General features: G+C 41.6%; 1 protein-coding gene across 7 annotated transcripts in view; it reads right to left on the bottom strand.

Annotated features, from left to right (window-relative positions):
- The window catches only part of ADAMTS12 (ADAM metallopeptidase with thrombospondin type 1 motif 12), a 368,456-nt gene that overhangs the window by 27,908 nt on the left and 327,940 nt on the right, over positions 1-12,608 (bottom strand). For all 7 annotated transcript variants that reach the window (NM_001324512.2, NM_030955.4, XM_017009905.2 and 4 more), the window contains one exon: positions 9,585-9,737. In NM_001324512.2, coding sequence (NP_001311441.1) covers positions 9,585-9,737 — 153 coding nt within the window. The remainder of the gene's footprint in view (positions 1-9,584; positions 9,738-12,608) is intronic.

A 12,608-nucleotide genomic window follows, 5' to 3' on the forward strand; every position in this document is an offset into this window, starting at 1 on the left:
AACAGCAAACTTAAAATTTGCCATAGAACAAATGAGAAAGCATGCTAATAGCTTCCACTCAAAGCAACTATTTGTCTGACAAAATAAATTTCCAGGAAATAGCCCATAGTTAAAACAAGAGTACTTTTTATTAGGAAAAGGGGATTTAAAAGACATAAGCATAAAATGAGATTTTACTTTTTTATTTTCTATTTGTTGCTATAATCTGTTATTCCTAAATTTATTTTTCAAATTAGCATTACTCTTTTGTCAAGAGCATGTGCACATTCAGTGGGAAATAAAATTTATTAATATGCTGAAGTCAGTAATAAGGGAAGACACTCACTAAATCTATCATTATTCTATTCCATTTTCAAAAGAGCCTCTGATTCTGTTAGCAAGAGGGAAGTGACAGCATATTAAGTCACTCCAGTCCTAACGCTCTTTTGCTTTTGTGTGCTGAATGACAATTGTTATGTTATATTCATTTTCTTATTGCCTGAGAGGAAGGCCGTTTGTATTCCTGTTTTCCTAATGTAAAGCCTGCGAACCAGACTGACGACAAGAGGCAGGCTAATGAGAACAGAAAGACTGGTAAATGCCCTGTTGAAACCAAACAGGTCTGATAGTATCCAGTTACCACATCACTACATCAGTTTGTTTAATTCCTGTGATTTGCACAGCAAATTGAGTTAGAATGAAAAATATCCTTAGCTTACTGGGGCCACTGGCAGAGGTAAAATGAAATCAAAACCTTTTCTTTCTTGTGCTATTTTTGATTTATGAAATCCTAGTACACTTCCCAGGCTGAACTTCTACAGAGTATTCAGAGAAGTATAGCACAACTAACAAACACAGGATTGGGGGACTAACAGACCAACTCCATCTATGACCCTGGCATCAAGTGGCTATGTGACTGCAGATTAATCACTGCACTTCTCTAAGGCTCCATTTCTCCATTGGTATTCAAAAGAGGATAAACTAGATGATTAAACTATCCCAGCATTCTAGAGTGTCATAAATGTATGAGATCACTGAGTTTGTGCTCTGTTTTGATTTCAGAATACTTTCTTCCTCTCAAAGTTATACATCAAATACTAAATTGGGATACGGAAGGAATTCCTTTCCAGCCTTTTCCTAAACACATTCATAAGACCCTTAAAATAATTCTTTCTGAAATATGGAAAGAATTCCTTTCTGGCCTTATGCTAAACACATTCATAAGACCCTTAAAATAATTCGAAGATCAGATAGTTGTAGGTGTGTGGTCTTATTTCTGGGTTCTCTATTCTGATCTGTTGGCCCATGTGTCTGTTTTTTACCAGTACCATGCTGTTTTGGTTACTGTAGCCCTGTAGTATACTTTGAAGTCTCTTAGGCTGATGCCTCCACCTTTGTTCTTAAGCAATTACAATAGAAGCAAAAATTGACAAATGGGATCTATTAAACTAAAGAGCTCCTGTACAGCAAAAGAAACTATCAACAGAGTAAACAGACAATCTACAGAATGGGAGAAAACTTTTGCAAACTATGCATCTGACAAAGCTCTAATATCCAACATCTCTAAGGAAGTTAAATTTATACAAAAAACAAAAAACAAAAAACAAACAACCATATAAAAAAGTGAGCAAAGGACATGAACAGACACTTTTCAAAAAAAGACATACACGCGGTCAACAATCACATGAAAAAAAGCTCAATATCACTGATCATTAGAGAAATGCAAATCAAAACCACAATGAGATACCATTTCACATCTGTCAGAGTGGCTATTATTAAAAAGTAAAAAAATAACAGATGCTGATGAGGTTGTGGAGAAAAAGGAATGCTTATATACTGCTGGTGGGAGAGTATATTAGTTCAGCCATTGTGAAAGACAGTGTGGTGATTCCTCAAGACCTAAAGACAGAAATACTATTTGACCAAGCAGTCCCATTACTGGGTATATACCCAAAGGAATATAAATTATTCTGTTATAAAGACACATGTACGCATATGTTCATTGTGGCACTATTCACAATAGCAAAGACATGGAATCAACCTAAATGCCCATCAATGATAAATTGGATAAAGAAAATGTGGTAATATACACTATGGAATACTATGAAGCCATAAAAAAGAATGAGATCATGTCCTTTGCAGGAACATGGTTGGAGCTGGAGGCCATTATCCTTAGCAAACTAACACAGGAACAGAAAACCAAATACCACATGTTCTCACTTATAAGTGGGAGCTAAATGATGAGAACACATGGACACATGGAGGGGAACACCACACACTGGGGCCTAACAGAGGGTGGAGTGTGGGAGGAGGGAGAGGATCAGGAAAAATAACTAATGGGCACTAGGCTTAATACCTGGGTGATGAAATAATCTGTACCAGAAACCCCTATGACACAAGTTTACCTATGTAGCAAACCTGCACTTGTACCCTGAACTTAAAAGTTAAAAAAAATTTATTCCAAAAATTCTAAGCAGAACAGCATCAAAATTCATGGGTCTGCCTGTCCTTCTCCCCACCCCACTTTCCCTTCATTGAGCACTTACTATGTTCCAAGCTCTGTATCTCTACCCTAAGTGGTTTGCAATCTAGCTGAGGCAGGAGAATTCACATAAATGAATAGAAGAAATAAAGATTATATGCCATAGTTGTCTACAATCTAGTGAGGACACAAAGGAGGAGACAGTCAACTTCACCTGAAGAAGTCAAGAAAAGCTTAAATAAAGGAGTCAAAGCTTGAGCTGAATCTTAATGAGTAAATGCTCATGTGGCTGGCAAAATAGTGTGGGGGGACATTTGAAGTGGAGGTAATGGCATGCACAGAGACTGTGAACCCACATGGCTTGTCTGGGAACAGTAAGTTGGTCAGAATGCTAGAGCAGGGGGTAGGGGTAGACAGAGAAAGATGGGTGGACGCCATCATGGAGAACCTTGTGGTCTGGACATTGGTGGTCTTGGGGTCACTTCTTATATGCTCCTAAAGGCTTCTATTTAATTGCCACTCCTCCAACCACTTCTTCTTGAGAATCTCTTAATCTGAAATGCTCAGGGGTGTCAAGAGAGTGTGATGGTTTAGACATAGAAAAAATTATATCAACAGTAAAATAAATGTAGGGATACTCAGTGTATGATTCATCTTTCTGCTACTCAATTTTTGCCTTCATAGGATAGAAGCTCTCCTATAACATACAATTCTAGGTTTTGACTTTTGCACACTGGACTTTAGTAAATGTTTCTGGGAACATGCTGTGTATGAAAGTATGGTTTGTCTGTATTTAGCAAAACAAAGGCTATTCTCCCATTTCATTCATTTGTAAAAATTCAGGTCCATAAAATGCAGTACTGCCATAGACAATCTGTAAAATTCAATAAACATGGAGACAAGAACTAGAATAAGACAGAAGGACTAGTTAGCAAATACATGAAATCCAAGGCCATAAGGAAAGGCTGTCACTTTCTGTTACTTTCCAGCAAATAACTTAGATGATAAAGTTACCGCTAAAATAAAAAGGCAACGTTGCCTATGTGGGAAGACAGATTATTACAAAAAAAAAGTAAAAATCTTTCTGATTCACTTCAGAAATAAATCAAGATCTGCTAGACTTAGCTATGAAAAGGGCAATGTTCATTCTAACTGAAGTAATAAAGGGGTTGTCAAATCAGCAGTTGCCAAAACTTCAGAAGAAACAGACAAAATATCAGTGAGGAAGTGTGTGGAGCTGTGCAGATGATGCATCGTTTTGCTGTCAAACCCAGCTGAGGATTTTTCAAGCTCATTATTATCTCTTACTACATTTCTTCCATCAGAAGAATCACTTTTTCTCCCATATGATTTTTTTTTAAGATGGGGTCTCACTCTGCTGCCCAGCCTGGAATGCAGTGGTGGAATCTTGGCTCACTGCAACCTTTGCCTCTTGGGCTCAAGTGATCCGTCCACCTCAGCCTCCCGAGTAGCTGGGACTACAGGCATGTGCTGTACCAAGCCGGGCTAAGTTTTTTTGTATTTTCAGTGGAGACGGGGTTTTGCCATATTGCCCAGGCTGGTCTTGAACTGCTGAGGTCAAGTGATTGCCTGCCTTGGCCTCCCAAAGTGCTGGGATTATAGGCATGAGCTACAGTGCCCAGCCTCCCCCATACAAATTTTAACATTCTGAAACCGGCATGTGTCCTACAACTGATATACGTATTAATTGTGTAGTGTTTCATTTCTTTCTGAAAAGCTGTAATTAAAATGACATAATCCCCCAGGTGACGGTTTCTTAGAATTGAGACTATTCAATATTAGTTTTGTGATCAAGTATATATTGGTGATTTAAATACTCTAAGCCCTAGTTTCCTTAGTGGAAATTATAAAGTCCTGTATTATGGTAAAAATAAAATTGTTTATCCAAAGCTTCCATGCAATGTCAGACACGTGGCAGTACTACCACCCACAGTAGGTCAAGTCCTCCAGAGTTCAGGAACACTTTGAGCACCCTGACTGTGTAGTACTGGGGAGTGAACACCTTCTCAGGCCAGTTTCTCCATTGGCAGGGCTTACTTCACTAACCTGTCCACAGGCCTCTTGCCCTAAGTCCAGGAAACAAGAGATTAGTCAATGTCCAATAGCCAGCCCTAACTTTACCTAGAGCTCGACGTTTGTCCAGGGCCTTGTTTAGTCTTTTATCATGAACAGAGTTCATTGCACACATTTTCTCTTTTGATCCTTATAACAACCTCTACAAAGTAAGTAGAGGCAATATCATCCACTTCATTTCAGGGGTGAGAAAACTAAAGCTCCTAAGTAGTTAGATGAATGGCCAGTGTCACATACAGATTAATGACAGAGTAGGTTATCATGCCAGATACATCTGATTCCAAGTCAGACCCCTCTGGGATTCAATACTGCATAATTGCATTTTTCCAAGACTGCCTCTGGGAGAAACCTGAGGATGACAACCTTGATTTTGTTTCAGACAGATTAATGCACGAAGAGGAGGAAAGCCACTGTGATAAACTACTTGCAGACACTGGAAAGGTAGAGATCTGAATGTCTCAGTCCTCTGTCATGTTGTAAGGAACATGGCTGTGCTTTGGTGAAGGATAGGCCGAGGTAGGATGTTTACATCCTGTGTGACTCAGCAAGTTTAGAGTGCAGGTGTGTAACTCCACTTGTTATCACAGTCATGGAGCCATAACGTGGGAAGGCCATCACTTGGCTCTAAGCCACTGTTGTCTGTAAAAGGTATAACTGCCCTGTTTGACACAGTGTGGTCACACTGCACCAAGAGAAAGAGAGAGAGCCAAAGTTGTCCATCTGCAAAGATGGACAGAGGGGAGCCAGGACACAGCTCGGCTCACTCATGCCCAGAGAGAAAGAAAGAGTTAACCTGCTGACCCTGAAAGCAAGGGAAAGCCAGCCATGCAGCTGTGTGTGGGAGCCGGACTAAGCAGCCCAGATGGGGCGGACAGTGTGAAAAAGCTGCTGATGAGAGTTGCTGCTGAATAAAATAATCTTTCACCAGCCTGTGGCCCCCGAGTGTTCTTTCTGCTCATCCACCCACTCCCTTCAGACTGCAACATGACCTTTGGTGTAGTCATGAACCTGACATATGTATATGAGAAAATGTTCACAGCAGTTCTATCAGGCTTCATCAAGAAGAATGGTATGAGAGAAATAAGCCAGTAAAACAATTGCAATCCAGACAGCAATCACAGTGGTAGAAGTTCCTGGTGAGTAACCTGGATGCCTCAGGTATGATACCTGTGGGTTCAGGTGAGGCTGCAACATACCCTGTCATCCTATGAGAATTAAAGTGTTTCTGGATCTGGAGGAGAGATTGCTGGAATAATGTAGAAAATTCCAGGTAAAATTAGAATTTTTCTTTCTGAGAAAGTATCTGTGAAAAGGCAAATGATCAGTTCGGCAGAATCTAAACTCTCTGGATATTTAAAGGCAAAACCAGGGATCCTCTTTCCTGCTCTGGATTTTGAAGGTCTGCCACAAAGAGAGCATAAAAGGCCTATCAGAATTAGCGAAGCTCAGAGGGAAGGCCTTCAAATCTTTCTTAGCACATGATTTGGACTTTAGACATCCATATGAAAAAGGGGTCTCCAACTACTTGAAGCTAAGGCAGGAGTATTGTTTGAGCCCAGGAGGTTGAGGCTGGAGTGAGCTGTGAGTGGGCCACTGCACTCCAGCTTAGGTGACAAAGTGAGACCCCATCTCAAAAAAAAATTAATTAGAAAAAGGGGTCTCAATAATCAAGATTTAAGTTAATATCTCTAGGAAAGACAAGCCATGTATGCCAGGGATCCCCAATCCCCCAGTCTGTTATATCTCAGCCTGTTAGGAACCAGGCTGCACAGCAGGAGGTGAGCATCGGGCGAGCAAGCAAAGCTTTATCTGTATTTACAGCTGCTCCCCATTGCTCACATTACTGCCTGAGCTCGACCTCCTGTCAGATCAGCAGCAGCATTAGATTCTCATAGGGATGCAAAGCCTATTGTGAACTGTGCATGCAAGGGATATAGGTTGCACACTTCTTATGAAAATCTAGTGCCTGATGATCTGTCACTGTCTCCCATCACCCCTAGATAGGACCATCTAGTTGCAGGAAAACAAGCTCAGGGCTCCCACTGATTCTACATTTTGGTGAGTTTTATAATTATTTCATTATATATGACAATGTAATAATAATAGAAATAAAGTGCACAATAAATGTAATGTGCTTGAATCATCCCAAAACCATTCCCCCAGTCCGTGGAAAAAGAATTTTGTAGAGATCACAAAACTGGTCTCTAGTGACAAAAAGGTTAGGGACTGCTGATGTATGCAATACCCATAATAGTGGTCAGAAAAAACAAAAATCAGGGCAACTGACCATCAGTAGTTAAATAGCATCTTTGATATAAGGTTTATCTATTATCTAATAAAAGAGACACTTTCTTTACTGGTAGGAATACAGTAATTTTGAGGATTATATTTTAGATATAGTAGTTACCTCATTCTAGCTGAATTTGATGATGTGTCAGAAACAACTCCTACAAAACCACTCAGGGCACTACAGAGATTAATCAATATATCTGCAACCCTAAAGGCCATGAAAGAGAGAGAGAGAGGGGCATGAGAGACCCTATAGGCCAGGCAAGGAGTCAAGCCAGGCTTTCCTTAGGAGGCCGGACCCCAGAGATGAGCTTGCTAATCTTTCATCCAGAGTTTGCACTGGCTAGACTCCCTCAGGCTGGAGCTGACCTTTTCAAAACACAAGCTATTTCACACATCTTTCCTTTTCATGAGTCATGTAATTTCCAATGAAATGATTATTCCCAGTGACAGGAAAGTGGAACTTTAGGACTTGGTCAACATTTGGCAAGCTCAGGGATATGAGATGTTTCTTGAGATTTCTCTGGATATGGAAGAGAAGTTGTAGCCAAACTTTCAGTCCTTTTCAGATCCTGAGTTTGTTATGAGTTGGAAGAGAAATAAAAAAGACCAGTATCGATTCTTGAAAGAAAAATTATATAGAAAGAGAAAGAAGGTGGTAATTTTCTCAAGGAGTAGCCTCACAACCCCTCTCTTCCAAAGACCAGAGCCTTGCTTTGGGAAAGGGTCCGAAAGACCGACCATCAGACAGTAGCCTCCCATGTTCCTGTCTGATGGTAAGTCTGCCAGGAGAACCAGAGACAGAAATGCCCATTGCAACACCTCTGGGTCCTGTCTGTCTGGGGACATGAGCTCTTCACTAGATGAAGAAACAAATGTCTAGAGGTGACATCAGCTTCCCTAAACCTCTTGGGTAGCTCTTTCTTTTCCTTTCTCCTGTGTCTCAGCTATCAAGAGGAACCAGCTCCCTGGAGAGAAGACAGGGGCCTACCAGGCTTCCTAGGGTTGATCATGTATGGCAAACAGGTATATGCACAGCTCACACCTCTGTACTCTCTACCTGCCAACTGGCCCTCAATCTCACCACTGACCAGTGCCTTATAGCCCTGAATTATCCCCCAAGAACTGGTTAAGCCCTAGTCCAGCGTGACAAGCAGATTAGGCCTAGTTAGTGTCTCAAAGCACCAAGGCTAACTAATCTGAAAACCTGATACGTTCTTTTCACAAGGAACTATGGAGACAGCACAGCAAAATGAGTAATCACAGTAAGATTAGCAAAGATGGTAAAATTGCACTTTAAAAAGATCAGTATGGCTGGGTGTGGTGGCTTACGCCTGCAATCTCAGCACTTTGGAAGGCCAAGGCAGGCGGACCACTTGAGGTCAGGAGTTCGAGACCAGCCTGGCCAACATGGTGAAACCCCATCTCTACTAAAAATACAAAAATCAGCCTGGTATGGTGGTGCATGCCTGTAATCCCAGCTACCCGGAGGTTAAGGCACGAGAATCGCTTGAACCCGGGAGGCAGAGGTTGCAGTGGGCCAACATCACGCCATTGCATTTCAGCCTGGGTGACAAAGTGAGACTCCATCTCAAAAAAATAAAAATAAAAATAAATAAGAAGATCAGTGCAGGGAGTACGCTTTTAAAGAACAAATTATTCTTTATATCTCAGCTTTTGTTTCATTTTGGGTCTGGAAGATTAAGCCATATATTCGCTTTGTAAAGCACAGGTGATTCATGATTTAATTATATCCGTGATAATATAGGATTATTCATTAAAATGCTAAATTGAAGTAATATAGAAATAGCATTGCATGCTGGAGAAGCAATTAATAACCCAAACTTAACTTTTCTGGTTTATCTTGTAAGAGAAAGGACAGGTGGGTTACCACATGTGGGTTAATAAAAACTCTGTACTTCTAAGACTTTTGTGTAACTTGAAGTTGGCCTATGGTAATGCCCATGATTTGCTCATCCCTGATTTTATAAGAGGTAAAAGGGCAGCAGAAAGGTAGAAAAAAAAACACTGTTGGTGGGACTGCAAACTAGTTCAGCCATTGTGGAAGTCAGTGTGGCGATTCCTCAGGGATCTAGAACTAGAAATACCGTTTGACCCAGCCATCCCATTACTGGGCATATACCCAAAGGAATATAAATCATGCTGCTATAAAGACACATGCACACGTATGTTTATTGCGGCACTACTCACAAAGCAAAGACTTGGAACCAACCCAAATGTCCAGCAATGATAGACTGGATTAAGAAAATGTGGCACATATACACCATGGAATACTATGCAGCCATAAAAAATGATAAGTGCATGTCCTTTGTAGGGACATGGATGAAGCTGGAAACCATTATTATCAGCAAACTATCACAAGGAAAAAAACCAAACACCGCATGTTCTCACTCATAGGTGGGAATTAAACAATGAGAACACATGGACACAGGAAGGGGAACATCACACACCGGGGCCTGTTGTGGGGTGGGGGGAGGGGGGAGGGATAGCATTAGGAGATATACCTAATGTAAATGACGAGTTAATGGGTGCAGCACACCAACATGACACATGTATACATATGTAACAAACCTGAACGTTGTGCACATGTACCCTAGAACTTTAATTAAGAAAAAGAAAAAAAAAAAAAACGACTTTAGCAAGTGTTTATATAAGATTCCCTTTCCAACCCATCCCCACCTTCTCTACCTCCAAGACTCTGCCAAGCCTGATAAGTTACCTTGCTCCAGTTTCCCACTTTCCAGCCAGCACAGGGACGGAGGTGGCATCTTTTTGCAGGGTCAGGTCTCTGGATGGCCGCACAGTCAGAATCCATCTGGGTGCTGCACTCCACCCTTCTCCAGTAGGCCCCCAGGCCACATGTGGTGGAGCACTGTAGCAGGGAAGGAGAGAGATGACAGAGGCTGAGTGTCACCTTCTCACACATGCCCCATCACTGGGATCCTGGAGTCAGTTCTCAGTCCCGTTTGCTAACATTGCCCACAGAGCTTTTTAAAAATTACCAACACTTGGGGCACCCCACTCACACAAATTAATCTGAATCTCTTGGGGTAGGACCCGGGGATGCTCAGTATTAAAAATAATTCCCCAGCTTATTTTAAAAAATAGTCACGGTTGAGAAACCTTGATTTGCATGTAGAAGGAAAATTCAATGCAAATGGAAATTTGCTTCCCTTTAAAACTTATCCTGGCAGGCCAGGGGCAGTGGCTCATGCCTTTAATCCCAACACTATGGGAGGCTGAGGCAGGAGGATCCTTTGAGCCCAGGAGTTTGAGATCACCTGGGCAACATAGGGAGAACCCATCTCTAAAGAAATTTAAAAATTAGCCAGGTGTGGTGGTGTATACTTGCATTCCCAGCTACTTAGGAGGCTGAGTTGCTAGGACTGCTTGAACCTGGGAATTTGAAGCTGAAGTGAGCTATGATTGCACCACTGCACTCCAGCCTAGGTGCCAGGGTGAGATCCTGTCTCAAAAGAAAACAACATTAATTATCTTGGCATGATTGCCCAGGGGGCTGCAGGCAAGCTGCCACATTTCCTACCAATGCTGTTCAGAGTGGATGTCAGGTCCAGGTGTCTGCCCCTTGCCTCTCCTCCCTAACACTGAATGATACTATCTCACCTATTTCTCTCCATGACAAACCTGAGTTGTAGTCTGGTATCATTATGGTGTAGATGAAGAAACAGGCTTTGAGAGCTGACCTGCCCAAAGGGTTTTCTGTCTCTAAAACCCAGGAAAATATTTGTTACAGTAGTGCTCCTCAAACTTTAGGGACCATATGAATCACCTGGGGACCTTGCTAAATGCAGATTCTGATTCAGTAGGTCTGGGGAGGGGAGGCGATTGTGCCTTTTAGCAAGCTCCCAGGTGCTGCTGATGCTGTTGGTCCTCAGATCACACTCGGAGTTAGAAAGATGTTACAGCATGATGCTTTTCATCCCTCAATCCACTGGTGGTGAAGAACTCAGTCGCCTTTGCCACACATACAGCTCATTCCCCTCAAAGTGTTTTTGTTTGTTTATAATTCTTAAATATCTCAGGTTTAGCGGGGGGTCACTTTGAAAACCATGAAAATGTCCATCACAAAATTTGTTCCCTTTTGTGTGCCTGATTCTTTCCTGTAACTGATTTTTCTTGCATCCCCTCTCCCCTGCTCATCCTCACTAAAAGGGGCTGTTTCTGGATGAGCAAAACAAAGTGCTGAACTAAAAAAAAAAGACAGGGTGGAAGTTCCATCTATGACATGCTTGAAGGTTTCTTTTGATAGGCTGTACATAAAGACCAGACTTAAGTTTCTCTTGCTGTAACTTCACTCTCCATATAATTTTTTTTTTTTTTTGGGATGGAGTCTCACCCTGTAGCCCAGGCTGGAGTGTAGTGGCATGTTCTTGGCTCACTGCAACTTCTGCCTCCCAAGTTCAAGCAATTCTCCTGCCCCAGCCACCTAACTAGCTGGAATTACAGGTGTGTGCCACCACACCTAGCTAACTTTTGTATATTTAGTAGAGACAGGGCTTCACCATATTGACCAGGCTGGTCTCAAACTCCTGACCTCAGGTGATCTGCCCTCCTTGGCCTCCCAAAGTGCTGGGATTACAGGCATGAGTCACCACGCCTGGCCTTCACTCTCCATATAATTTTATGTTTCATTTTGTGCACGTTCTTGTGTTACAACACATATATAACATAATAGAGTTCTTAGGTAGATAATCTGTAGATCACAGAAAGAGAAAAGTAGAAATTATTTTCTACTACATCATCTTTTCCAAGTGAGTCATTTATAGAGGTAATATATTCTCCTCCTTATAATTCTTTAGGATTTGTTTCTTTTGTTAAGTTTCTACCACTTTCTTCTTTGTATCATATTATGTATCTAGGTAATAGAGATAACAGCTGAAGTACTATAGATTGATAGCACTAATGGCCTGCATCGTTCATACTTCCTTAAACCCATGCTCTTTGCAAGGGGACTTTGCAGCTTCTGTCATCCAGAGGTGGAATTTATTTCTCCAGCTCTTGAATCAGGGCTGTCCTTGTGACTTGTCTTGGCCAACAGAATGCAGTGGATGATGCTGTTCCAGTTCTCAAGAGTTGGTGCTTTCCATTCTTGCTCTTGGACCCCTGCCTCTGCTATGAAACTAAACCTGGGCTGGCCTGCTGGAGGATGAGGGCTCATTACACCTAGTGACCCTGTGGCGACTGACTAACCAAGTCAAAGGTCAGCATCCAGGTGTTCAGAACCAGAACTGATGCTGGGGTTCACATCAGCACCATATGAACACTGCTCTGAAATGCTGTGGAAAATTATGCTGTCACTTCTATTTTACACGACCACACAGTTTACAGTTAACTGACTGGCCCAAGGGATCTGACTGAATGATGAGGCAAGTCAATGAGAGGTGAGTCTCTATCAAAATAAAAGCCATACCCATGCACACTGCATAGCACTGAAGTTCTCTGTTTTGTAAATATGGATCAGAGCAAACACTTACTGAGTACTTCCTATGTGCCCGACACTCTTCTGAGTACCTTACATATAGTTATTCCTTTTATCTCCTAAGTCATATAAGTTGGGCATTATCATCATCCTCATTTCATAGATGAGGGAAATGAGGTAGAGTGAGGACATACAGCTGGTAATTTACTGAGTCAGGACTAAACCCCAGAAAGTCTGGCTTCAAGGTTTACACCTACTTACAGTGTTAGCTCAGCTTTTACATCAATTACTTAATATTTGAAA

The sequence above is a fragment of the Homo sapiens genome, chromosome 5 (genome assembly GCF_000001405.40).
Source record: "Homo sapiens chromosome 5, GRCh38.p14 Primary Assembly".
Classification (NCBI taxonomy): Eukaryota; Metazoa; Chordata; class Mammalia; order Primates; family Hominidae; genus Homo; species Homo sapiens.